At 36.4% G+C, this 20,872-nt stretch overlaps 1 protein-coding gene across 2 annotated transcripts in view, besides 1 other annotated feature; it reads left to right on the plus strand.

The window, feature by feature from the left end:
- Nucleotides 1-20,872, plus strand: part of CLTC (clathrin heavy chain) — a 77,062-nt gene that overhangs the window by 43,870 nt on the left and 12,320 nt on the right. For both annotated transcript variants that reach the window (NM_001288653.2, NM_004859.4), the window contains exons 9-28: nucleotides 78-230; nucleotides 1,023-1,145; nucleotides 2,339-2,476; nucleotides 2,716-2,880; nucleotides 3,033-3,213; nucleotides 5,013-5,176; nucleotides 9,883-10,008; nucleotides 10,937-11,079; nucleotides 13,190-13,424; nucleotides 15,633-15,755; nucleotides 17,148-17,293; nucleotides 17,531-17,714; nucleotides 17,883-18,075; nucleotides 18,507-18,664; nucleotides 18,865-19,029; nucleotides 19,143-19,250; nucleotides 19,331-19,498; nucleotides 19,623-19,772; nucleotides 19,861-19,992; nucleotides 20,111-20,221. In NM_001288653.2, the coding sequence (NP_001275582.1) occupies nucleotides 78-230; nucleotides 1,023-1,145; nucleotides 2,339-2,476; nucleotides 2,716-2,880; nucleotides 3,033-3,213; nucleotides 5,013-5,176; nucleotides 9,883-10,008; nucleotides 10,937-11,079; nucleotides 13,190-13,424; nucleotides 15,633-15,755; nucleotides 17,148-17,293; nucleotides 17,531-17,714; nucleotides 17,883-18,075; nucleotides 18,507-18,664; nucleotides 18,865-19,029; nucleotides 19,143-19,250; nucleotides 19,331-19,498; nucleotides 19,623-19,772; nucleotides 19,861-19,992; nucleotides 20,111-20,221 (3,066 nt within the window). The remainder of the gene's footprint in view (nucleotides 1-77; nucleotides 231-1,022; nucleotides 1,146-2,338; nucleotides 2,477-2,715; nucleotides 2,881-3,032; nucleotides 3,214-5,012; nucleotides 5,177-9,882; nucleotides 10,009-10,936; nucleotides 11,080-13,189; nucleotides 13,425-15,632; nucleotides 15,756-17,147; nucleotides 17,294-17,530; nucleotides 17,715-17,882; nucleotides 18,076-18,506; nucleotides 18,665-18,864; nucleotides 19,030-19,142; nucleotides 19,251-19,330; nucleotides 19,499-19,622; nucleotides 19,773-19,860; nucleotides 19,993-20,110; nucleotides 20,222-20,872) is intronic.
- Nucleotides 19,422-20,621: an enhancer, noted in NCBI's record as "CDK7 strongly-dependent group 2 enhancer chr17:57760547-57761746 (GRCh37/hg19 assembly coordinates)". NCBI's record gives its function as "activates an origin of replication core promoter dependent on BRD2, BRD4, P300/CBP, MED14 and CDK7 cofactors, with strong dependence on CDK7, by STARR-seq in HCT116 cells {active_cell/tissue: HCT116}" and the evidence as "EXISTENCE:reporter gene assay evidence [ECO:0000049][PMID:35650434]".

A 20,872-nucleotide genomic window follows, 5' to 3' on the forward strand; every position in this document is an offset into this window, starting at 1 on the left:
ATAGTGGACATAGTGTCAACTGCTCATTTCTAAAACAGTTCATGGATCACTAAACAATCTCTTTTTCCTTTGGACAGCTGGAATGTTCTGAAGAACTGGGTGATCTTGTGAAATCTGTGGACCCTACATTGGCACTTAGTGTGTACCTAAGGGCTAACGTCCCAAATAAAGTCATTCAGTGCTTTGCAGAAACAGGTCAAGTCCAAAAGATTGTTTTATATGCTAAAAAAGTGAGTTCAATGAAACACATTCTCAGCATGAATTCATTGAAGCATTGACAGAGAAATTAGCCTGTATTAACTCTTGATTACTTTAATAGTGAATTTCCTTTCATTTTGATTTACTTTGAAATGTATAAAAATTCTCTTACCCCTCATATCAAATTCATACTTGTTAAATTGAGAAAATTACTTTTGCATGGCTTATCAGAATTTCAGATAGCAGGCACGTTTAACATGTTAGAACAAACTTTTGAAATATTCATTTATTGAAAATGGATAAGCCAGGCCAGGTGTGGTGGCTTGCGCCTGTAATCCCAGCACTTTGGGAGGCCAAGGCAGGCAGATCACTTGAACTCAGGAATTTGAGACCAGCCTGGGTAACATGGTGAAACCTTGTCTTTACTAAAAATACAAAAAAGTAGCCAGGCGTGGTGGTGTGTCTGTGGTCTTAGCTACTCAGGAGGCCAAGGTAGGAGGATCACTTGAGCCCAGGGGGCAGAGGTTTCAGTGAATCGAGATTGCACCTCTGCACTCCAGCTTGGATGACAAAGCAAGACCCTGTCTCAAAAAAAAAAAAAAAAAGAAAAGAAAAGAAAAGAAAATGGATAAGCCAGTTATAAAAATTGACAGATGTTTGTTCAAATATGTCATCACCAAGGTCTAACTGGGCACCTTAAATTGAAAATGAATTTGTGCTTTCACCAGTAGTTCTATATTAGTGAGATTTTATAGTAGAAAAAGTCTTTAAATGCTATAAAATTGAAACTTAGGAGCAGCGTTTAAGTCTTTGTTTGTTTATAGGTTGGATACACTCCAGATTGGATATTTCTGCTGAGAAATGTAATGCGAATCAGTCCAGATCAGGGACAGCAGTTTGCCCAAATGTTAGTTCAAGATGAAGAGCCTCTTGCTGACATCACACAGGTAATGTGATTAAAATATATTTTGTAGAAGCTGATTGAAATGGAGAGTGGGGGCCAGCCATGGTGGTTGACTTGGGAGTCCAAGGTGGGAGTATTGCTTGAGGCCAAGAATTCAAGACCAGTCTGGGCAACATTGTGAGACCCTGTAACTACAAAAAATTTAAAAATCAGCTGCATGTGGTGGCACATGCCTGTCGCCCCAGCTACTCGGGTGGCTGAAGTGGAGGGATAGCTTGAGCCTGGGAGGTCGAGGCTGCAGTGAGCTATGATCGTGCCATTGGACTCCAACCTGGGCAACAGAGTGAGACTCTCAAAAAGAAAAAAAAAAAAGGAAAACTTACAGTTTGTAGAAATTAAAGCTTTGTCACTCTATATGGATAAACCTCAAATGCCTTGCAAAAAAAGCAAGTTGCAAAAGAATGGACAGTATGAAACCATCTGCATGTAGTTTTAATACATGCAAAACAAACATCTTATTTAGAGATGTATGTGTATTAAAAATATGAAAAATACATGGGGATGATAAAACAGGATAGTGGTTGCCACTGGGTGTGGGGAGAGGGAAGAGATGCATTTGTAAGTGTGAGTCAGAGTCCTTCATATTTATGCTATTGGTTTTCTAAAGTTCATAAAAATAAAGGTCTGTCAGGCTGGGTGCGGTGGCTCAGGCCTGTAATCCCAGCACTTTGGGAGGCTGAGGTGGGCAGATCACCTGAGGTCAGGAGTTTGAGACCAGCCTAGCCAATATAGCGAAACCCTGTCTCTACTAAAAATAACAAAAAATTAGCTAGGTGTGGTGGCAGACGCCTGTAATCCCAGCTACTCAGGAGCTGAGGCAGGAGAATCGCTTGAACCCGGGAGGTGGAGGTTGCAGTGAGCTGAGATCGTGCCATTGCACTCCAGCCTGGGCAATAAGAGCGAAACTCTGCCTCAAAAAAATAAAATAAATAAATAAAATAAAATAAAGGTCTGTCGGTTCAGTTGTATTCTGCTGTTATGTAATATCTTGAAATATTTTGTAGTTGTTTTTATCAGAACTCAAAATAACTATGATCCCTAGAGGACAAAAATTTGTTCTTAAGTGTTTATATTGTCCAAATAAAATTCTCAGGTAAAGAAAGAGTTCATGCATAATTTTGTCTACATACTCTCCATAGTATCTTAAAACAATTTCTTTTAAATCTTTTTTTGTAGATTGTAGATGTCTTTATGGAATACAATCTAATTCAGCAGTGTACTGCATTCTTGCTTGATGCTCTGAAGAATAATCGCCCATCTGAAGGTCCTTTACAGACGCGGTTACTTGAGATGAACCTTATGCATGCGCCTCAAGTATGTGTTTTAATGCTTTTTAGGCATGTTTCCAACATTGTTTTAGTAATTGTGCAGCGCCTCTCAGATTGTTATGCAAAGCTACTGAGGGGCCTACTCCTTATTAAAGAAAATGTAGCTATTATAATATTCTTTTGTACTTTAACAGTTCACTATTAAACCTTAATCTGTAATACGGATATTGAATTACTCATGTAAGTGGAGTGGACAATAAACTTGCCTTGTTTGTGGTTTTACAGGTTGCAGATGCTATTCTAGGCAATCAGATGTTCACACATTATGACCGGGCTCATATTGCTCAACTGTGTGAAAAGGCTGGCCTACTGCAGCGTGCATTAGAACATTTCACTGATTTATATGATATAAAACGTGCAGTGGTTCACACCCATCTTCTTAACCCTGAGGTATTTCAGTTTCTTACCTAATAGATGGTGTTAGTTGTGATTAATAGGTACACTGAAAATGTGTTTGTGGTACTAAATATTAATAATTTCATACCACCATGAGGTTCAACATTATTTCATTTATTCATTCATTCATTTATTTTGTCTTGTAGTGGTTAGTCAACTACTTTGGTTCCTTATCAGTAGAAGACTCCCTAGAATGTCTCAGAGCCATGCTGTCTGCCAACATCCGTCAGAATCTGCAGATTTGTGTTCAGGTGGCTTCTAAATATCATGAACAACTGTCAACTCAGTCTCTGATTGAACTTTTTGAATCTTTCAAGAGTTTTGAAGGTAATTAGGAGTTTTTGAGTTTTTAAAAAAAGTACTTAAGGTAGCCAAGAAGAGGTATGCTTATGATCAGGCTGTTGGAAATTTTGTTTTTCTAAAAATTTGGTTCTATGGGACATTTTAATTTTTTAAGTTTTATTCAATATATGTCAAGGCCCTTTTATGTTGGATTCTAAGGATATGCAGTGAACCAGACCATCTGTTTGGATATTTTATAGATGAATTAAAGGTAGAATTTTAAGAGAAAAATATGTAGTGGTGTTGAAATTGTATAAAATGAAAATACAGGTTGAGTGTCCCTAATCTGAAAATCCAAAATGCACCAAAGTCCAAAACTTCTTGAGCACCAACATAACGCTCAAAGGAAATGCTTGTTGGAGCATTTCAGAAATCGGATTTTCAGATTAGGGATGCTGATCAGGTAATTATAATGCGAATATTCCAAAGTTCAAAATCTGAAACACGTCTGGTCTCAAGTATTTTGGATAAGGGATACTCAGTCTGTACTAATGATCAGGTATAATAAAATTTTATGCTTATATGTCTGACTCTTATAATAGCAGGTGATTCTCACTAAGGGCATTTTGTGATTTGTTGCTATTTAGCAGGATTTCTTAACCTTAGTACTATAGACATTTAGGGCTGGATAATCATTGTAGAGGGGTGTTCCTGTACATGTAGAATATTTAGTAGAATATTCAGCAGCATTCCTGGTTTCTACCCACTAGATTCCAGTAGCGTCAGCTCCACCAGTTGTGACAACCAAAAATGTCTTCAGACATTGCCAGTGTCACCTGTGAGGAAAATCACCTCAGTTGAGAACCACTGCTATACAGGGTACTAACGTAATCACTGTTGGGTGTCTAACTTCTGGTCCCCAACTGCCTTTCTCTCCTCTCTGTACTAGTAGTACTCTATTGAGAAGGGGTAAGAGAGTCTAGTAGTTTTCTTAATTTTTTCTTAATTTTCCCAGTTTCAAAATGTTAACTGTGCACTAAATTTACACTGTTTAGTACAGTCACTAGCCACATATAGTAGCTATTTACATTGAAAGTTATTAAAGTGAAATAAAATTTAATATTTAGTTATTCAGTCACTCTAGCCACATTTCAAGTGCTTAATAGCCACATGTGTTTAGTGGCTATTATATTGGAAGGCAAAGATAAGATTTTCATCATTGCAGAAAGTTCTTCTGGACAATACTGCACTAAATTCTTCCCAAATTATTTTGTATGTTTCCTATAAATTGCATATTGAAAAACACCAGGTATTGGGGTCTTCATTTAAAATTTCCCATATAGGGGCACAATGGTGTATGCCTTTAATAATCCCAGTGCTTTGGGAGGCCAAGTGCTTGGGGCCACAAATTCAAGACCAGCCTGGCTAGCATAGCAAGACACCATCTCTACAAAAATTTTCTTAAAAATTAGCCTGGCATGGTGGCATGCATCTGTAGTTCTAGCTACTTAGGAGGTTGAGGTGGGAGGATTGCTTGAGCCCAGGAGTTTGAGGCTGCAGTGAGCTATGATCGTGCCACTGCACTCCAGCCTGGGTGACAGAGACCTGCCTCAATAAAAAAGAAAAAAAGGAAACATTGGGTTGAATTGTCTATTCTTCAGGATTAAAGTGCAATCCATTTTACTGATCTGATTAATGGAATAGTTAGTATTTTTATCGCGCTTTTTAAGCAACCAACTTATATTTGGGAGTATTCAATATAACAGTTTTTTAATTACATAAATGTTTTTCAGTCATTCTCAAAAGTGTGCCTATGCTTAATTGTAATTACTTGTTTCTTTAAGGTCTCTTTTATTTTCTGGGATCCATTGTTAACTTTAGCCAGGACCCAGATGTGCACTTTAAATATATTCAGGCAGCTTGCAAGACTGGGCAAATCAAAGAAGTAGAAAGAATCTGTAGAGAAAGCAACTGCTACGATCCTGAGCGAGTCAAGAATTTTCTTAAGGTAAGTGGTTTTGAGTAATGTGTTTTCTGGTTGGATTCCAGGTTAGCAGTTCTACAAGGGTTTGGTCATAGTTCAAAAATATTTTTTCCCTAAATGTGAAGTTGTTAGCATTCTTAAGTTGTGTGCTGGATTATTTCTTCCAAACATAATATTCTGTGGTTTCCTTTGAAATACGGAAGGAAATTGGTGAGTAAGAATGACCATCTGTTTAAAAGAAGAAAAAAAAAATAGCACTATTTCAAAGGAATTTCCTTTATTTTAATTTTGGATGGAAAAATTTAGAAAAGTGGTTGTATACTTTCAATGTCATTTTAGAATCATTTAGGCTTTTGAATATTAACATCAGCTTGCTCTTCATACCATTTTGAGGAGCCTCTATTGTAGGCAAAGGGATCTGTTGTCTAAGGAATGTATAGGTTTACCTCTTTCATCAAGTTTGCTCAACTCTAGAAACTAAAATATTGTTATTCATATATAATTCATAAAGGTAAGATCAAACAAAACGCTCAGCTTTGTGACACATTAAATCAGTTAGAGAGGAGTAAGGACCACCTGTGTTGCAGGGAGGAGTAATGGTTGAGAGATTCTGAACTCTAGAACATCCCTAAGGGCAGTTAATTTTGTTTAATGTTTAACTTAGCTTTAGCTTTATTCTTGTAACTGCCAGTTACTTTGTGATGGAAATAAAGCTTTAAAATTGATAGCTATCTATAAAAGGCTAGGAAAACTACAGAACACTTAGATTACTGCTCTCTCACTGCCTATTATGTGTGTGTGTGTACACTATATATATATATAATGATTCCTGAGACTTTATAGAAAGTTCTGAAGTATTTTTTGTCTTGGAAGAATTTTACATTACAAGTAAAACCAAAATGTTTTTGTAGAACACAGTATAGAAAGTAGGCTTTTCCTACTCCCAGATTATCATCATTTGTGTGTGTGGTTGCATTGGCAGATTGTTCTTTTGAAGAATTTACTACCTGGGCTCTAGATTAAATAGCAAAACCCTTAGGGGTTTTAGTGTAATGAAGTAGTCAAAATGTTGAAACTGCTCTACATTTTAGATTAAAAGATACACTTTTCAAAAAAGTATAGCTTTAAAATGTCTTGGCCATCATGAATATTCTGGGTAACCTAGCTGTGCTATGTTTGGACCAAAACTTTCTGGTGTCAAAAAACCCCTCCAAATGAGAAAGATTTGATACTCTGTGCTTGACTAGTGTACCCATACTACTGATTCACTTCCTTCTTTGAGTATCATTACTATTTCCTTTAAAAAAAACAACAACAAAAAAAACTACTACTAGATTCTTTTGGGGGCAGGGGGTGTTGGGTTTTTTTTTTTGTTTTTCTTTTTAAGCTTTTAAGTTCAGGGGTGCGTGGGCAGGTTTGTTATATAGGTAAACTGTGTCATGGGGGTTTGTTGTACAGATTGTTTCGTCATCCAGGTATTAAGCCTACAACCCATTAGTTATTTTTTCTGATCCTCTCCCTCCTCCCATCCTCCACCCTTCAGTAGGCCCCAGTGTCTGTTGTTCCTCTCTGTGTCCATGTGTTCTCATCATTTATCTCCCACTTGCTAGTGAGAACATGCAGTATTTGGTTTTCTGTTCCTGTGTTAATACTACCAGATTCTTAAATGATTTCTTTTTGTTTTTATTGAGCCCTCAGCTTCTATGCTTAAATTGTAACTTCTTTAGCTTTGGATTTTAATATTTGAGTTATATATATATGGAAAGCAAAATGAAATTAGCTATTATTTAATTATCACATTTTTGAGCTTTAAAAAAAATCCTCTAGTAAAGAAATGAAAAACAATCCTCTGGGTACTAGGATGGTACTGCCTTAGGTTTGCATAGCCCATGGGATCTAATCAGATGAAGATTTCCCCTCCACACTTGTGAACTGGGTACAAGCCTGATATAGTAGGGGTGTGGATGTGGATTATGAGCTTTTGAGTCAGTCAGACCTGTTTCAAATTCTACTTAGCCATTGTTTGTTCATTCAGTATATGTCTAGCTGTTACCTCAGGCAAGTTAATGAATATGCCTCAGCCTCAGTTTCTTCAACCATAAGCTATGTTTATTTATCAAGTACCTTGTATACTATAGATGTTTAGGCAGTAACTATTACTGATAAGTGATAAGCCTTGGAAAAAGGTGGAGTCAGCCTAAATGGGATTTCTGTCAGGCAAGTATTTATTTCTCTTTGATATCAATTTGTACTTGACTCTTTGAAGGAATTTACTTCCAGCCAGGATTAGAGGTGAATTTAGGGTCTTACGTCTACATAATTTGACATGGGAGCTCAATACTAAGATGCAACTATCACATTCATCCTCTGATGCCAGTGTTGAGAGTGAACTTATTAGATTCCTTGTTAACCTCCAGTACAGGGTTATGATGCCTCTTATCACTGTTATTAAACTTAATTTTAGAGGTACTAGCTACATGATAATTTACTGGTGTTGTAAGTAAACCCTGTGTCATAAGAAAAATACCCTGACTCTGATCTTGAATATTCAAGTGCCAATTGTGTGTTAGCCACCAGGAATAAAGAGATTGGTAGAACATAACTTCTCCTTTAAGGTACCCTGTGAGCAGGATAAAATTGTGTCATTAGCATCATTTGACTCATGCCCTAAGTTTGTAGAACTGTAAGCTCTCTGTAGAAAGCATATAACTGTTCATCAGACCCATGATCTGCTCCTTGCTACCTTTGATCTTATTTTCTACCTTTCTTTTTTTCTTTCTTTCCTGGTTTAGCTTCAACCACACTGGCCTGCTAGCTATTCCTGGAACTCCCCTAACCTTGTCCTGCCGAAGGGCCTTTGCTTGTGCCCTGTACTACTATTCTCTCATGACCTTCTTTCTCCTTTACCTTCTTTGGGTTTCTGATTGAATGTCAGAAGAGAGGATGTCTCAGGTTGCCTTGTGTAAAATAGAACCCATTCCTACCCCATTTTGCTTGTTTTTCTTTATAACACCACTATGAAACGTCTCCTCCCACTAGAATGTAAGTTCCTTGAGAGAATGGACTCTGCTTCCTTTGTTCCCTGCTGTATCTCCAGTACCTAAGAACAGAGTCTGATACTTGGGTACTCATAAATATTTGTTAAATGAACAAATTTATGTTGAAGAAAACCTCTGACTATGCTAATATAATTTCAAGTTTGATCTTAAAATCTTTAACCATTATAACTGGAGGTTAATTAAACATTTAGTAAGTAATTTAATATTATTAAAATGTTAACATTTCTACCATGTATAAAATCATGTGCAAATTTTAGCAATCAAGAAAATAACCTAGATTTTGTCTACTTTTTAAATCTGAAATTTTCTTTTGGAATACAGTTAGTATTCCACAAAAGTGGAATTATTTGCCACAGAAATTTTAACACCTATGCATGAAAACAGAATAAGTAATCCTAGATTATCTGTAAGTGATAAAGATAACAAAAATATTTTATATGTGTATAGGTAAGATGACTAGTGTGTTGATCCATACTTTTTTGATGTTCATTTAGTAGGAAAAACATGACATACTAAAATTTTTACATAGATAGATGCAGACAGATTCTAGAAATGATCGTAACAGCTATTAGTGCAGAGTTTCCATGGTGTTAAACAATACTTATTTTAGAAAACCTTCCTTAATGTGGAAAATCTGCAGCTTTACAGACATTTTTATTTTTTAATTTAGGATGGCTATATTAAAATTAAGATTTACCTTGGTGTTCTTGGGACACTTCATAGACTAGTCTTCGTATTATTTATAATCGAGTAACTAATATCCCCTAGTCTCAGGAGCCATTTAATTCTAACCTTGAAAATAATGTTCTTAGTGGCCATCACTGGGGAAAGTTCTACCCTACTTAGTTCTGCTTCCCTAGTAGACTGTGTTAGAGGAATCATTTATTGAGGAATGTTTCACTGTGTATAAATGAATTCCTGATGGAAACTGTTGTTTTTTGTGCTCTACCTTATGTCTGTGGAATGTAACAGGACATGTATCAGGTAAATGCCCAGTACAGGTTTTACTTACCTGTCTATAACATCTTCTATGTCAGTCTATAAGTAGGATTGTAGTTTGGTATCTGTAATGGAATGATAAAAGCAGTTGGCAATTTAAAGATATCTTTTCTTTAAATGCTGGGTTTTTTTTTTTGTAGGGGGTGGGTTTTCTTATGGCCACATGTGGTCACCATCATGCTGCTCCTTGTAGGCTTTGTTATAATAGAGTATTAGAGGCTGGTTGTATAGATTGGATGTGGGGAGGGATAGAAAATCATTAGTTTGAAACAAATGTAAGCCATTTATGCCATATGTTTGACAATGTGACTATAGTTATTAAGTTGATTTTAAATACGGTAGAAGTGTTATTACCAGTGAAAGTCCCAGTATGGTGAATTTATCATCTGAGAGCCACTGGCTCAGGTATCTTAATTTGTTACTCTTGTTTTTTGGTAAAGGGTGTGTATGGGAAAGACTTGGTATCTTGCTGTGTGAATCTAAGTATTGCTTAGTAAAAATTTACTGAAACTGGGATGTACACACTCAACTATTGGGACATTCTTTCTTTAACAGAAGAGCTATGTTTGTGTGAGCCTCTCTTGTTAGCGTAGAACAAATTCTCATATGTTACACAGATTTGATACCTCATAGAAGAAATTTAAAGTTTCCTTTTGTTTGTCTTTTTTTCAGGAAGCAAAACTAACAGATCAGCTACCACTTATCATTGTGTGTGATCGATTTGACTTTGTCCATGATTTGGTGCTCTATTTATATAGAAATAATCTTCAAAAGTATATAGAGATATATGTACAGAAGGTAAGTAATATGTAGGTAATGTAAAGGTATAATCTTACTATAGATTTTATTTCTCATATTCTGGAAATCCTTTTGAAACTCTGTGCTCAATAAGAGTGGTCTGCAGCTTTTAACGTGGGATTTTTTGTTTTTGTTTTTGTTTTGGAGACAGGGTCTTGCTCTGTCACCCATGCTGGAATACAGTGGCACAATCACAGCTCACTCTAACCTTAAACTCCTGGGCTCAAGCAGTCCTCCTGCCTTAGCCTCCAAGTATCTGGGACTGCAGGTGCATACTACCATGCCCAGCCTGCTTTTAATACTTTTTCCCCAGCAGAATCCTTTCTTGGAATAAAATTCTACGTGCTTCCCTAGCAAGCCGACTCAGGGAAGGGGGAAAAAAAAAACATGCATGCCAAGTGTGTAAAATATAAGAATAGAACTGCTATTATTGAAAAAGTTGGGTGGCCTAGGGCCTTACTAACTTGATAGACCCTGAGGTATCCATGTAGACTCCAAAGCAGAGTTTTCAAACCATCTTAAATACAGATATTAGATAATTCACCTTCTAACTGTAGAAACAGGCAGTATTGCTATAATGGGAGCCTTTTTATTAGACAGTCTTGCATAGTCATCTTTGACTGTATCTTCTTTGGACTTATTTATCATATGGAACAATGTTTCGGTAACTAACCAAACCGGTAGAGACAGAATATAGTATATGTGCTTTCAATACTTATTAAACCATGAAGTCTTGTTTTTAGCTGGACTTCCTGCTAAATTCCTCTATCTAGTTGCAAATTTAGACCCTCAGTTTATTACTGAATTTAAAAACTGAACTTAAAGAAAAAAAAACTGAGCTTAAAAGCGATAGAGATAAATGCTTTTTTAAAATTCCTCTTTGCTTTTAATAACATAATAACATTCTTCTACTTCTTTTTAACCACAGGTGAATCCAAGTCGACTTCCTGTAGTTATTGGAGGATTACTTGATGTTGACTGTTCTGAAGATGTCATAAAAAACTTGATTCTTGTTGTAAGAGGTCAATTCTCTACTGATGAGCTTGTTGCTGAGGTTGAAAAAAGAAACAGGTGTAGTACCATTTTAACAGGGATAAGTTACTCTTTCTTAACATGGCAATAGATAAAAATATAGGTAGTCATTTGTTCCAAAGCTACTAAATAACACATGGAGAATAATTTCCTGAAGACACCTAACATAGAGGTGATAAGCTAGCTAATAGCACTGGGAAAAAATCTGTTTTCTGAAACATTATAGCTGTCATAGGAGATCTGTTAACTTGGTTGATCATTTTTTTGGCATGTTTATAATTACAGCTATGTGGTTTGACTTTATATGTTTTTATATAAACTATGTACTAAGTCTCCTGTTTAGGTGTGATACCTGTGTATTTAACAACTAATTCTGTACTGATCAATCATGTGGTGTTTCCAACCTGAGAAAGCTGATTAAAAAAAACAGTGTGGTGTTTAAGTGTGAGGCAAAAGAGTTCCCTGTGCAACTCTTGAGTTCAATTGATATTTAATTTACAGTACCTTAACATGATAATATGGATTTCCAATAGAATATAGTATAAGTGCTTCTAAAACTTACAGACTGTGAAGTCTTTTTTTAGCTGGAACGTTCTGAGGAACTAGTGTTTAGGAAGTACTGATGTAAATGAGTTTGGTGAGGTGGTATGCTAGTGGGAAGTTCTGCTGTTTATGAGAAGAAATTAAGAAAGTCTGTGGGTTTCATTTTAACCTGAGTTGATATAGGTGATCTACTAATTATATTCTTAGAATTTATATTAGAATGTTTCAAACATGGAAAAATTTTGCATTTAAGGGTAATAGAGATATGCAGTTAATACTGACCTAAAGGTTTGAGCCTAGTTTCAAGTGATTTTATGTCATAACAATTTAACATTTAATAAGAGGTTCAGTTGAGTCTGAACCTATTGAATCTATTACCTGAAAATAATCTTACTGCATATTCCAAGCAAATGGCAGTTACAGTTAGATAATTTAGTCTTTAAGTGACAAATTATATTGTGAAAAGCTAGATTCACATCTAAGTCACTAGTCTAGACATGCCTCAGCTAATTTTTATTCCTTAAGTTGACATGGCGTATCTTGGATTGCACATGTTTATAGGAGCTGGATTTTTGCCTCTATTTATTAAAATTGTCTTCTCCCTAATGGGAGGGTTCATAATAACCATGTGAATTTGATATAGCCAAAATAACGAATAATGCTTTTTCTCTGGCTGCTTTTAATGTTTAAATCATTGGTAAAAGAGGCTTGGGCCAGGCGTAGTGGCTTGTGCCTGTAGTCCCAGCTTCTGGGGAAGCTAAGGTGAGAGGATTGCTTGAGCCCAGGAGGTCAGGGCCGCAGTGAGCCCTCCACTGCACTCCAGCTTGGGCAACAGAAGACCCTGGCTTTAAAATAAAAATAAAAGGAGGCATGGTCATCAGGACTATCGAAACAAGCTATAGTATAGCAAAACTGTGCTCCTTGATGGAGTGTTTATATGACAGCTGCAACTATTAAACCCAGAGCTTCTAAAGCTATCAGATTTTATTCCCAATATGTATTTAGGGTTTGGCTGTAGGTAATGCTGTATGTTAATTGTGTTAAAGCTGAAAGAACTCTCAGATAATCTGGCCTATGTAATATCACATCCCCATCCTATCCACAAACAAAATTTTCTGAAGTCTAGATATTTTGTGTGTTATAAAGAAAGGACACTGTATGAATCTCTAATCTTTTATTCAGATATAAGGAGGTAAGTATATCATATAGCAGATAAACCTGGGAGAGTGAAAAATAGCCTTATATACCTTCTTTTTATTCTTGGACAACTCAATCATATTTTGAGTCTTAATTTCCCAATTTATAATAGGATCACTGATAATTAAAATTAATGTAAAGCCAGGTACAGTGGCTTGCACCTATAGTACCAGCTACTCGGGAGGCTGAGGTACTAGGATCACTTGAGCCCAAGGCTGTAGTGCACAATGATTGTGGCTGTGAATAGCCACTGCACTTCAGCCTGGACAATGTAGCAATACTCGGGGGGCGGGGAAAAAGTATGTGAAAGCACATTATAGACCATAAGGTATTTACATAGTTAGCATGTCAAGAGTGTGTTATTTATAATACAGTATGTGTGTGTGAGGTTTTTTTCCTTTTTTCCTAGATTGAAACTGCTTCTGCCTTGGCTAGAGGCCAGAATTCATGAGGGCTGTGAGGAGCCTGCTACTCACAATGCCTTAGCCAAAATCTACATAGACAGTAATAACAACCCGGAGAGATTTCTTCGTGAAAATCCCTACTATGACAGTCGCGTTGTTGGAAAGTATTGTGAGAAGAGAGATCCACATCTGGCCTGTGTTGCTTATGAACGTGGCCAATGTGATCTGGAACTTATTAATGTGAGTACTGCTAGCTGAATATGTAGAGAAGCTGCATTTTTAAAAACCTGTTACATGAGAGTTTCAGGGTAATTTTAGGTAATATGGGACATTTGGGGACGGTGGGTGCTTTTTTAAAACTTTATTTGGAAATAATTGTGAATCTGAAAGTGGCCAAATAGTGGATAAAGTCTATATACCCTTTATTCTGATTGACTTGCTAATGTTTTAACCCCACTAGCCTTACCATTTGTGTTCTCACACTCTTACACTCAGGCACACCATTCATACATATGTGTATACACACACATACTATTTTTTAACCACGTGGGAATAACTTGAATGCATCATGGCCTTATACCCCTTCCGAGTGTATGGCCTAAGAATAAGGATGTTCTCTTTCATTAACCACATGAAAGATACCAGCTTCAGTCAGTTTGACATTGATAGGATACCTTTAAAAATCTGTTCTATTCTAGTTTTGTCAGTTACCCAATGATGTCCTTTGTAGCAGTTTTTTCCCCTCTAGTCTAAGGTCATATATGGCATGTAGTTTTCATGTCTTTAGTCTCCTGTACTTTGGAATGGTTCTTCAGTCTTTTGTTTTCTATGACGCTGATATCTTTGTAAACAATAGTTGCTTTTTCTATTTGTAACTATTTTATATAGGTGAAATTTCAAGCAACATCAAATTAACCATTTTAAAGTGAACAATTCAGTGGCATTCAGTATATTCACAATGTTATATAATCACCTTTATCTAGTTACAAGTTTTCATCACTTCAAAAGGAAACCCTGTATTAATTAAACAGTTCCTCCACATACCCCCTCCTCCCAGCCCCTGACAACCACCAGACTGTACTGTCTCTATGGATTTGCCTATTCTCTATATTTCATCTAAATGTAAAGTCTCTTTTTAAAAAACAGAATGTGTCTCACTTTGAGTTCCTCTGATGGTTCCCGATGATTAGATTTAGATTATACATTTCCACCCAGAGTACTGCTTCAGTGGTGGTTTGTTTTTCTCTTGGTATTATATCCGGAAGCACGCAGTGTTCATTTGTCCCCTTTGTCAGTTTTTATCAAGTTGTAACATGTCTTTATTACATAATTATTACCCTCTTGGAGATATTAAACAGTCTATAAGTAGTCTGTAGTAGACTATGCAAATATCCTCTTACCCTCTCCCTTAATTTAGCATCTGTTGATTCTTGCTTAAACCATTCTTAATGTGTTGGTTGCAAAATGAAAATTTTTCAAACTCCAGCAGTTTCTCCACATTTGTCAGTTAGCACTCATGCATTCATGAACTCTTGGATTTTATTCGATGGGCTACAATTCACTACTATTTATTTTGATGCTCAAATTGTCCCAGTTTTGACTGGTGAGAACCTCTTCAGTCTGTGTCTTTGTGTCATGGGCTCATTTTTCTTTGAGCACTAACTTATTTTCTGGCACACAATACACCAAGCTCATTTTGTACCTTCAGCAGCCCTGAAGTCAGTCATTTCCCTAGGGAACCTTTTACTGGGGCATTAGAAACCAAGATCTGGGCCAGGTGAGTGGCTCACTCCTAGAATCCCAGCACTTTGGGAGGCCGAGGCAGGAGGATCACTTGAGCCCAGGAGTTTGAAACCAGCCTGGGCAACATAGCGAGCCCCCCGTCTCTACAAAAAATTACATGATTAGCTGGGGGGAGGTGCCATGCACTTGGTTTCAAGCTACCCAGAAAGCTGAGGCAGGAGGATCACTTGAGCCCAGGAGGTCAATGTTGCAGTGAGCTATGATCGCAACACTGCACTCTCCAACCTTGACAACAGAGCAAGACTCCTACTTTCTGAAAATATTAGAAGTCAAGATCTGAGCTTTAGTGTATTTGCTTCTAAGATCTTTCAGTGGTCAGGGCTTAGTTACATTTATGTACATACATATGCTCATTTATGTACATACATGTGCATATACGCATGGAAAAATAAACACACAAGAACAGCTAGTAAAACACTGAAAACTGTAAAAGTGGACTAGTCCTACCAGATGTTGAACTGTGTATTACAAAGTCTATATAATTAAAACAGTATATTACTGGTACATGAATCAAAGTCCAAAACTAGATCCAATATCAGTAAGATTATCAATAAACATAGTTTAAAAGATAGGAAATACCCTCTAAAATGCTATAAAAAGTCCTTTACTTTTTACCTTGAAATTAATCTATCATATCTTCTTTAGGTTTGCAATGAGAATTCCCTCTTCAAAAGTCTTTCTCGCTACCTGGTACGTCGAAAGGATCCAGAATTGTGGGGCAGCGTGCTGCTGGAAAGCAATCCTTACAGGAGACCCCTAATTGACCAGGTAACATTGGCAAATGTGTTTATGGCTGTCAGTAAAAATTATACATTTTTAACTATGAATACAATCCTTTCCCTCATCATGTACTCAAATGGATCATATATAACTATGAGAGAAAGCAATACAAAGTAGAAGAAAATTAAAATTTATATATATTCAATTTACATTCATTTGTATATAATGAATGTAAATTGATTATATACATTATATACAAATGAATGTACATTTATATAAGTATAAATATGTATATAACATACATTAAGAAAAATAAGCCATGTGCGGTGGCTCACGCCTGTAATTCCAGCACTTTGGGAGGCCGAGGTGGGTGGATCACCTGAAGTCAGGAGTTCGAGACCAGCCTGGCCAACGTAGTAAAACCCCATCTCTACTAAAAATACAAAAATTAGCCAGGTGCATGTAATCCCAGCTACTCGGCAGGAAAATCGCTTGAACCCGGGAGGTGGAGGTTGCAGTAAGCCGAGATCACGCCATTGCACTCCAGCCTGGGTGATAAGAGCAAGACTGTCTCAAAAAAACAAAAAGAAAAAAGAAAAAGAAAATACATCCCAAAAGACCTGACTTAATTATATAAAACTCTCTTGGTTCATCATAGTTTAAAAGGAAAATAACAAACTAAACATTAAAGATTGCTATTATTAACACTTAAGTGGCTAAATTGATTGGAAACTTCAAGATAATAAGTCAGAAAAATATAAGGATAAGAGAAAATACAAAAGACCAAGTGCATCAGTGTTATATCTTACTAATAAGAAGTATAGAACTGCAAATGAGATGGGGTTTTATACCTAAATAAAATAGACAACATATTTTAAAAGTTCTAAAAATAGAAGAGTTGTTATAATGAGTCTTAAATTCTCCTGAGATAAGTATAAATAAAATATTTTGGAAACGAATAGGTTGAAGGCTATTAATATTTCATTCCTTTCCTAGGAAGCACTTCTAAGCAACATTCCCAAGTAGTTACAAAGCTTCCTAGGGGAAGGTTGTGGGGGTGGGGGCGATGGTTGGAAATCATTGCAGCATCTAGAAAACCAAGCAAATAGCCAAAACCAGACGAATTACCGATATTTTAATTCCACATCTGTGTAGCTGAATTTTGAATTATGTGTAGCCATTAAAGTGATAATGATGATTGCTAGCCTGGATAATGTTTTAATCAGGGAAAAGATAGAAATTATATAATTAGAGTAATTTTTCAACACAATTATACATATTGTATAGATTTGTGTAGAAAGACCTCTCTATGTAAATTTAAAGGTCTTTTTCCTACTTCATTCTTTTCTGCCTATTTCAAGTTTTCTAATGAGAGGCCAACTTACGCTTTTTTAAAACCAACTTGATTCTCAGTACTTATGTCCCATATATCCTCTGTAGGTTGTACAAACAGCTTTGTCTGAGACTCAGGACCCTGAAGAAGTGTCAGTAACTGTAAAGGCTTTCATGACTGCAGACCTTCCTAATGAACTCATTGAACTGCTGGAGAAAATTGTCCTTGATAACTCTGTATTCAGTGAACACAGGTATGCTTTCAGAGGGATCCATTGGCTATTTATAGTCAGTCTTTAATAAATTATGGCCCATCAGTTTTGGGAAGGAACAAAAAGATCAGAGAAAGTTGCCTGAATTCTCACTCTTCTAATATCCTCCCCCCTACCCTACCTCTTGAGACAAAAACCTCTCCGTTAGTCACAGTGGTTATTTTTTATGTCGGATAAACTTAAAATATTGCATTTAAAATATTCTTTTTTTTCTTAAAGGAATCTGCAAAACCTCCTTATCCTCACTGCAATTAAGGCTGACCGTACACGTGTTATGGAGTATATTAACCGCCTGGATAATTATGATGCCCCAGATATTGCCAATATCGCCATCAGCAATGAGCTGTTTGAAGAAGCATTTGCCATTTTCCGGAAATTTGATGTCAATACTTCAGCAGTTCAGGTAAATCTTCAGATTACCTAAGTTGAATTACTAAACACTGTGCTATGAGGGTGGGCCTAATTGGTTGCTACGGCAATAGAGCAGCAATAAAATACTAACAGCTTAAATGTAATTGCTTTGGGTAGGATTGATTTTACTCTAACCCTAATTTCAAACTTGGATACTTAGGTCTTAATTGAGCATATTGGAAACTTGGATCGGGCATATGAGTTTGCTGAACGTTGCAATGAACCTGCGGTCTGGAGTCAACTTGCAAAAGCCCAGTTGCAGAAAGGAATGGTGAAAGAAGCCATTGATTCTTATATCAAAGCAGATGATCCTTCCTCCTACATGGAAGTTGTTCAGGCTGCCAATACTAGTGGTATGACTTCTTACCTTATGTATTGAAACCTCATAAAATGATTAAGCTAAGCATTAAGATATCTGTCTATTCTGAATTTTAGAAGAGTTGGATACTGCATGGTTTCTTTTAGTGCTCCATCTTAGTCCAGATAAAAAGAGGCTGTATTTTGTGAATTTGTAAGTTCACAAAACTTACAAGTGGGGAAGATGAATCTTCTGTTTTTGAAGTCTCATAAAATCCTGATAGTGCTCTAATCTTAAAACTTTAAGGAAAAAGAATTCATCTATTCATTTGGTCCGTGATAATACAGAAGTGAAATATTGCACGGTTTACATTTGTCATTATCCATGTTTCCTTGAAAAGGAAATGAATGCAATTTTCATTTACTTGGGTGAAAGATAAACTAGGATGTTAGTGTTTGGATATATTTTTTCTTTTTCTATACTTAGGAAACTGGGAAGAACTGGTGAAGTACTTGCAGATGGCCCGTAAGAAGGCTCGAGAGTCCTATGTGGAGACAGAACTGATATTCGCACTGGCTAAAACAAACCGCCTTGCAGAGTTAGAAGAATTTATCAATGGACCAAATAATGCTCATATCCAACAAGTGGGTTTCCTTTTCAGATTTAAGAAAAACTAGTTGGGCTACTTGATTAGCTTGGTAGGATCAAAACATCATAACTGAAGAATTCCAAGGAAAAATCTATAGGAAAACAAATTCTTTCTCATTGTGAAGATATCAATTTGAAAAGAGGATTAAGCTCACACTAATATCTTGCTGAATGTGGGTTACCTTTTTTTTTCCAGGTTGGTGACCGTTGTTATGATGAAAAAATGTATGATGCTGCTAAGTTGTTGTACAATAATGTTTCCAATTTTGGACGTTTGGCATCTACCCTGGTTCACCTGGGTGAATATCAGGCAGCTGTTGATGGGGCTAGGAAAGCTAACAGTACTCGAACATGGAAAGAGGTAATCTAAACCCAAGTTTGAGTGAAGAATTAAAGAAACGCTATTTAAACATTAGTTTAAATAACTAGCCATGTTTTACATTTGAGTTCACAGAAAGGAAATGTTTATTCTAGGTCTGCTTCGCCTGTGTAGATGGGAAAGAATTCCGTCTTGCTCAGATGTGTGGACTTCATATTGTTGTACATGCAGATGAATTAGAAGAACTTATCAACTACTATCAGGTATTAACGAGACTTTTATATGACCTGAGATCTTTTACCATAGATATTCTTATCTTTAACTGCACATTTCTCTTGTTCAGGATCGTGGCTATTTTGAAGAGCTGATCACCATGTTGGAAGCAGCACTGGGACTTGAGCGAGCTCACATGGGAATGTTTACTGAATTAGCTATTCTATACTCTAAATTTAAGCCTCAGAAAATGAGGGAGCACCTGGAGCTGTTCTGGTCTAGAGTGAATATTCCCAAGGTAACCAGTCATTGTAACACAGTGAAGCAACTGTGTAGTTAAAACTAATGCTTCAAAATATCTTATTCTTTTTAAGGCTGTTAGCTAGACTCATATCTAAAGCAATTAAGTCTTTCTTATGCAGGTGCTAAGAGCTGCAGAACAAGCTCATCTTTGGGCAGAACTGGTGTTTTTGTATGACAAGTATGAAGAATATGATAATGCCATAATTACCATGATGAATCATCCAACTGATGCCTGGAAAGAAGGGCAATTCAAAGATATCATTACCAAGGTGTGTACTTTCTTCAGAAGATAAAGGATTCAGAAGGAGAAAGCTCATTAGGAAGTAACTGACTTATGTATGGATTTTCCCATTGTAGGTTGCCAATGTGGAACTATACTACAGAGCAATACAGTTCTACTTAGAATTCAAGCCTCTGTTGTTAAATGATTTGCTGATGGTGCTGTCTCCACGGTTGGATCACACTCGTGCAGTCAATTATTTCAGCAAGGTAAAGTAATAATTTTAAACCAAAGCTTCATAGCAAGGAATTAGGACATACTTCGATAACTTTTGTCCCTGGGACTTCAATAATGTGCTATATTTGTAACAAACTCTTTATTTTAAAGGTTAAACAGCTACCACTGGTGAAACCGTATTTGCGTTCAGTTCAGAACCATAACAACAAATCTGTGAATGAATCATTGAACAATCTTTTTATTACAGAAGAAGATTATCAGGTAAAACCTTTTGATTCTTGCACATAATCTCAAGACTCATAAAGTTATGTTTTCCCATTTTTTAAAAAAGCCATTATCCTTTAGGATTGTAAACAGTAGGTGCTTGCATACCTAGGATCTAAATTTAGTAAGATTTCAGGATTGATAAATCTTCTAATTAAGTGCCAAGTTTTCAGAATTTTGCTCAGATCTTGTATAAGATACTGCTTTTGAAAAAAATGATATGATTACTTTATCTCTAACATCTAGATTGTAGGTAGAGTCAAAAATGTCTTTGACCACTTAACTAATTCATAAAATTTATTTGGTATTAACTATATTTATTCACCATTTTTCTTGCCTACTGTTTTATTAGTGTTTGTATAAACTTTCTCTTATGAAGGATTTCACAAGCAAAAGTGAAGTAGAGTTAAGCTTAAGCTACTTGCCTTTTTTTCTCTCTCTTCATTTTCTTTGAGGCTCAGCGCATGCAGATCTGTACTGCTGCCATGCTGAGTTTTATCAGAAGTTTCTCTAGAGCACAGAATCTTGCCCTCCATGCCAGGCGTGGTGACTCACGCCTGTAATCCCAGCACTTTGGGAGGCCAAGGCAGGCGGATCACGAGGTCAGGAGATCGAGACCATCCTGGCTAACACAATGAAACCCCGTCT

Source organism: Homo sapiens, chromosome 17 (assembly GCF_000001405.40).
Source record: "Homo sapiens chromosome 17, GRCh38.p14 Primary Assembly".
Taxonomy (NCBI): Eukaryota; Metazoa; Chordata; class Mammalia; order Primates; family Hominidae; genus Homo; species Homo sapiens.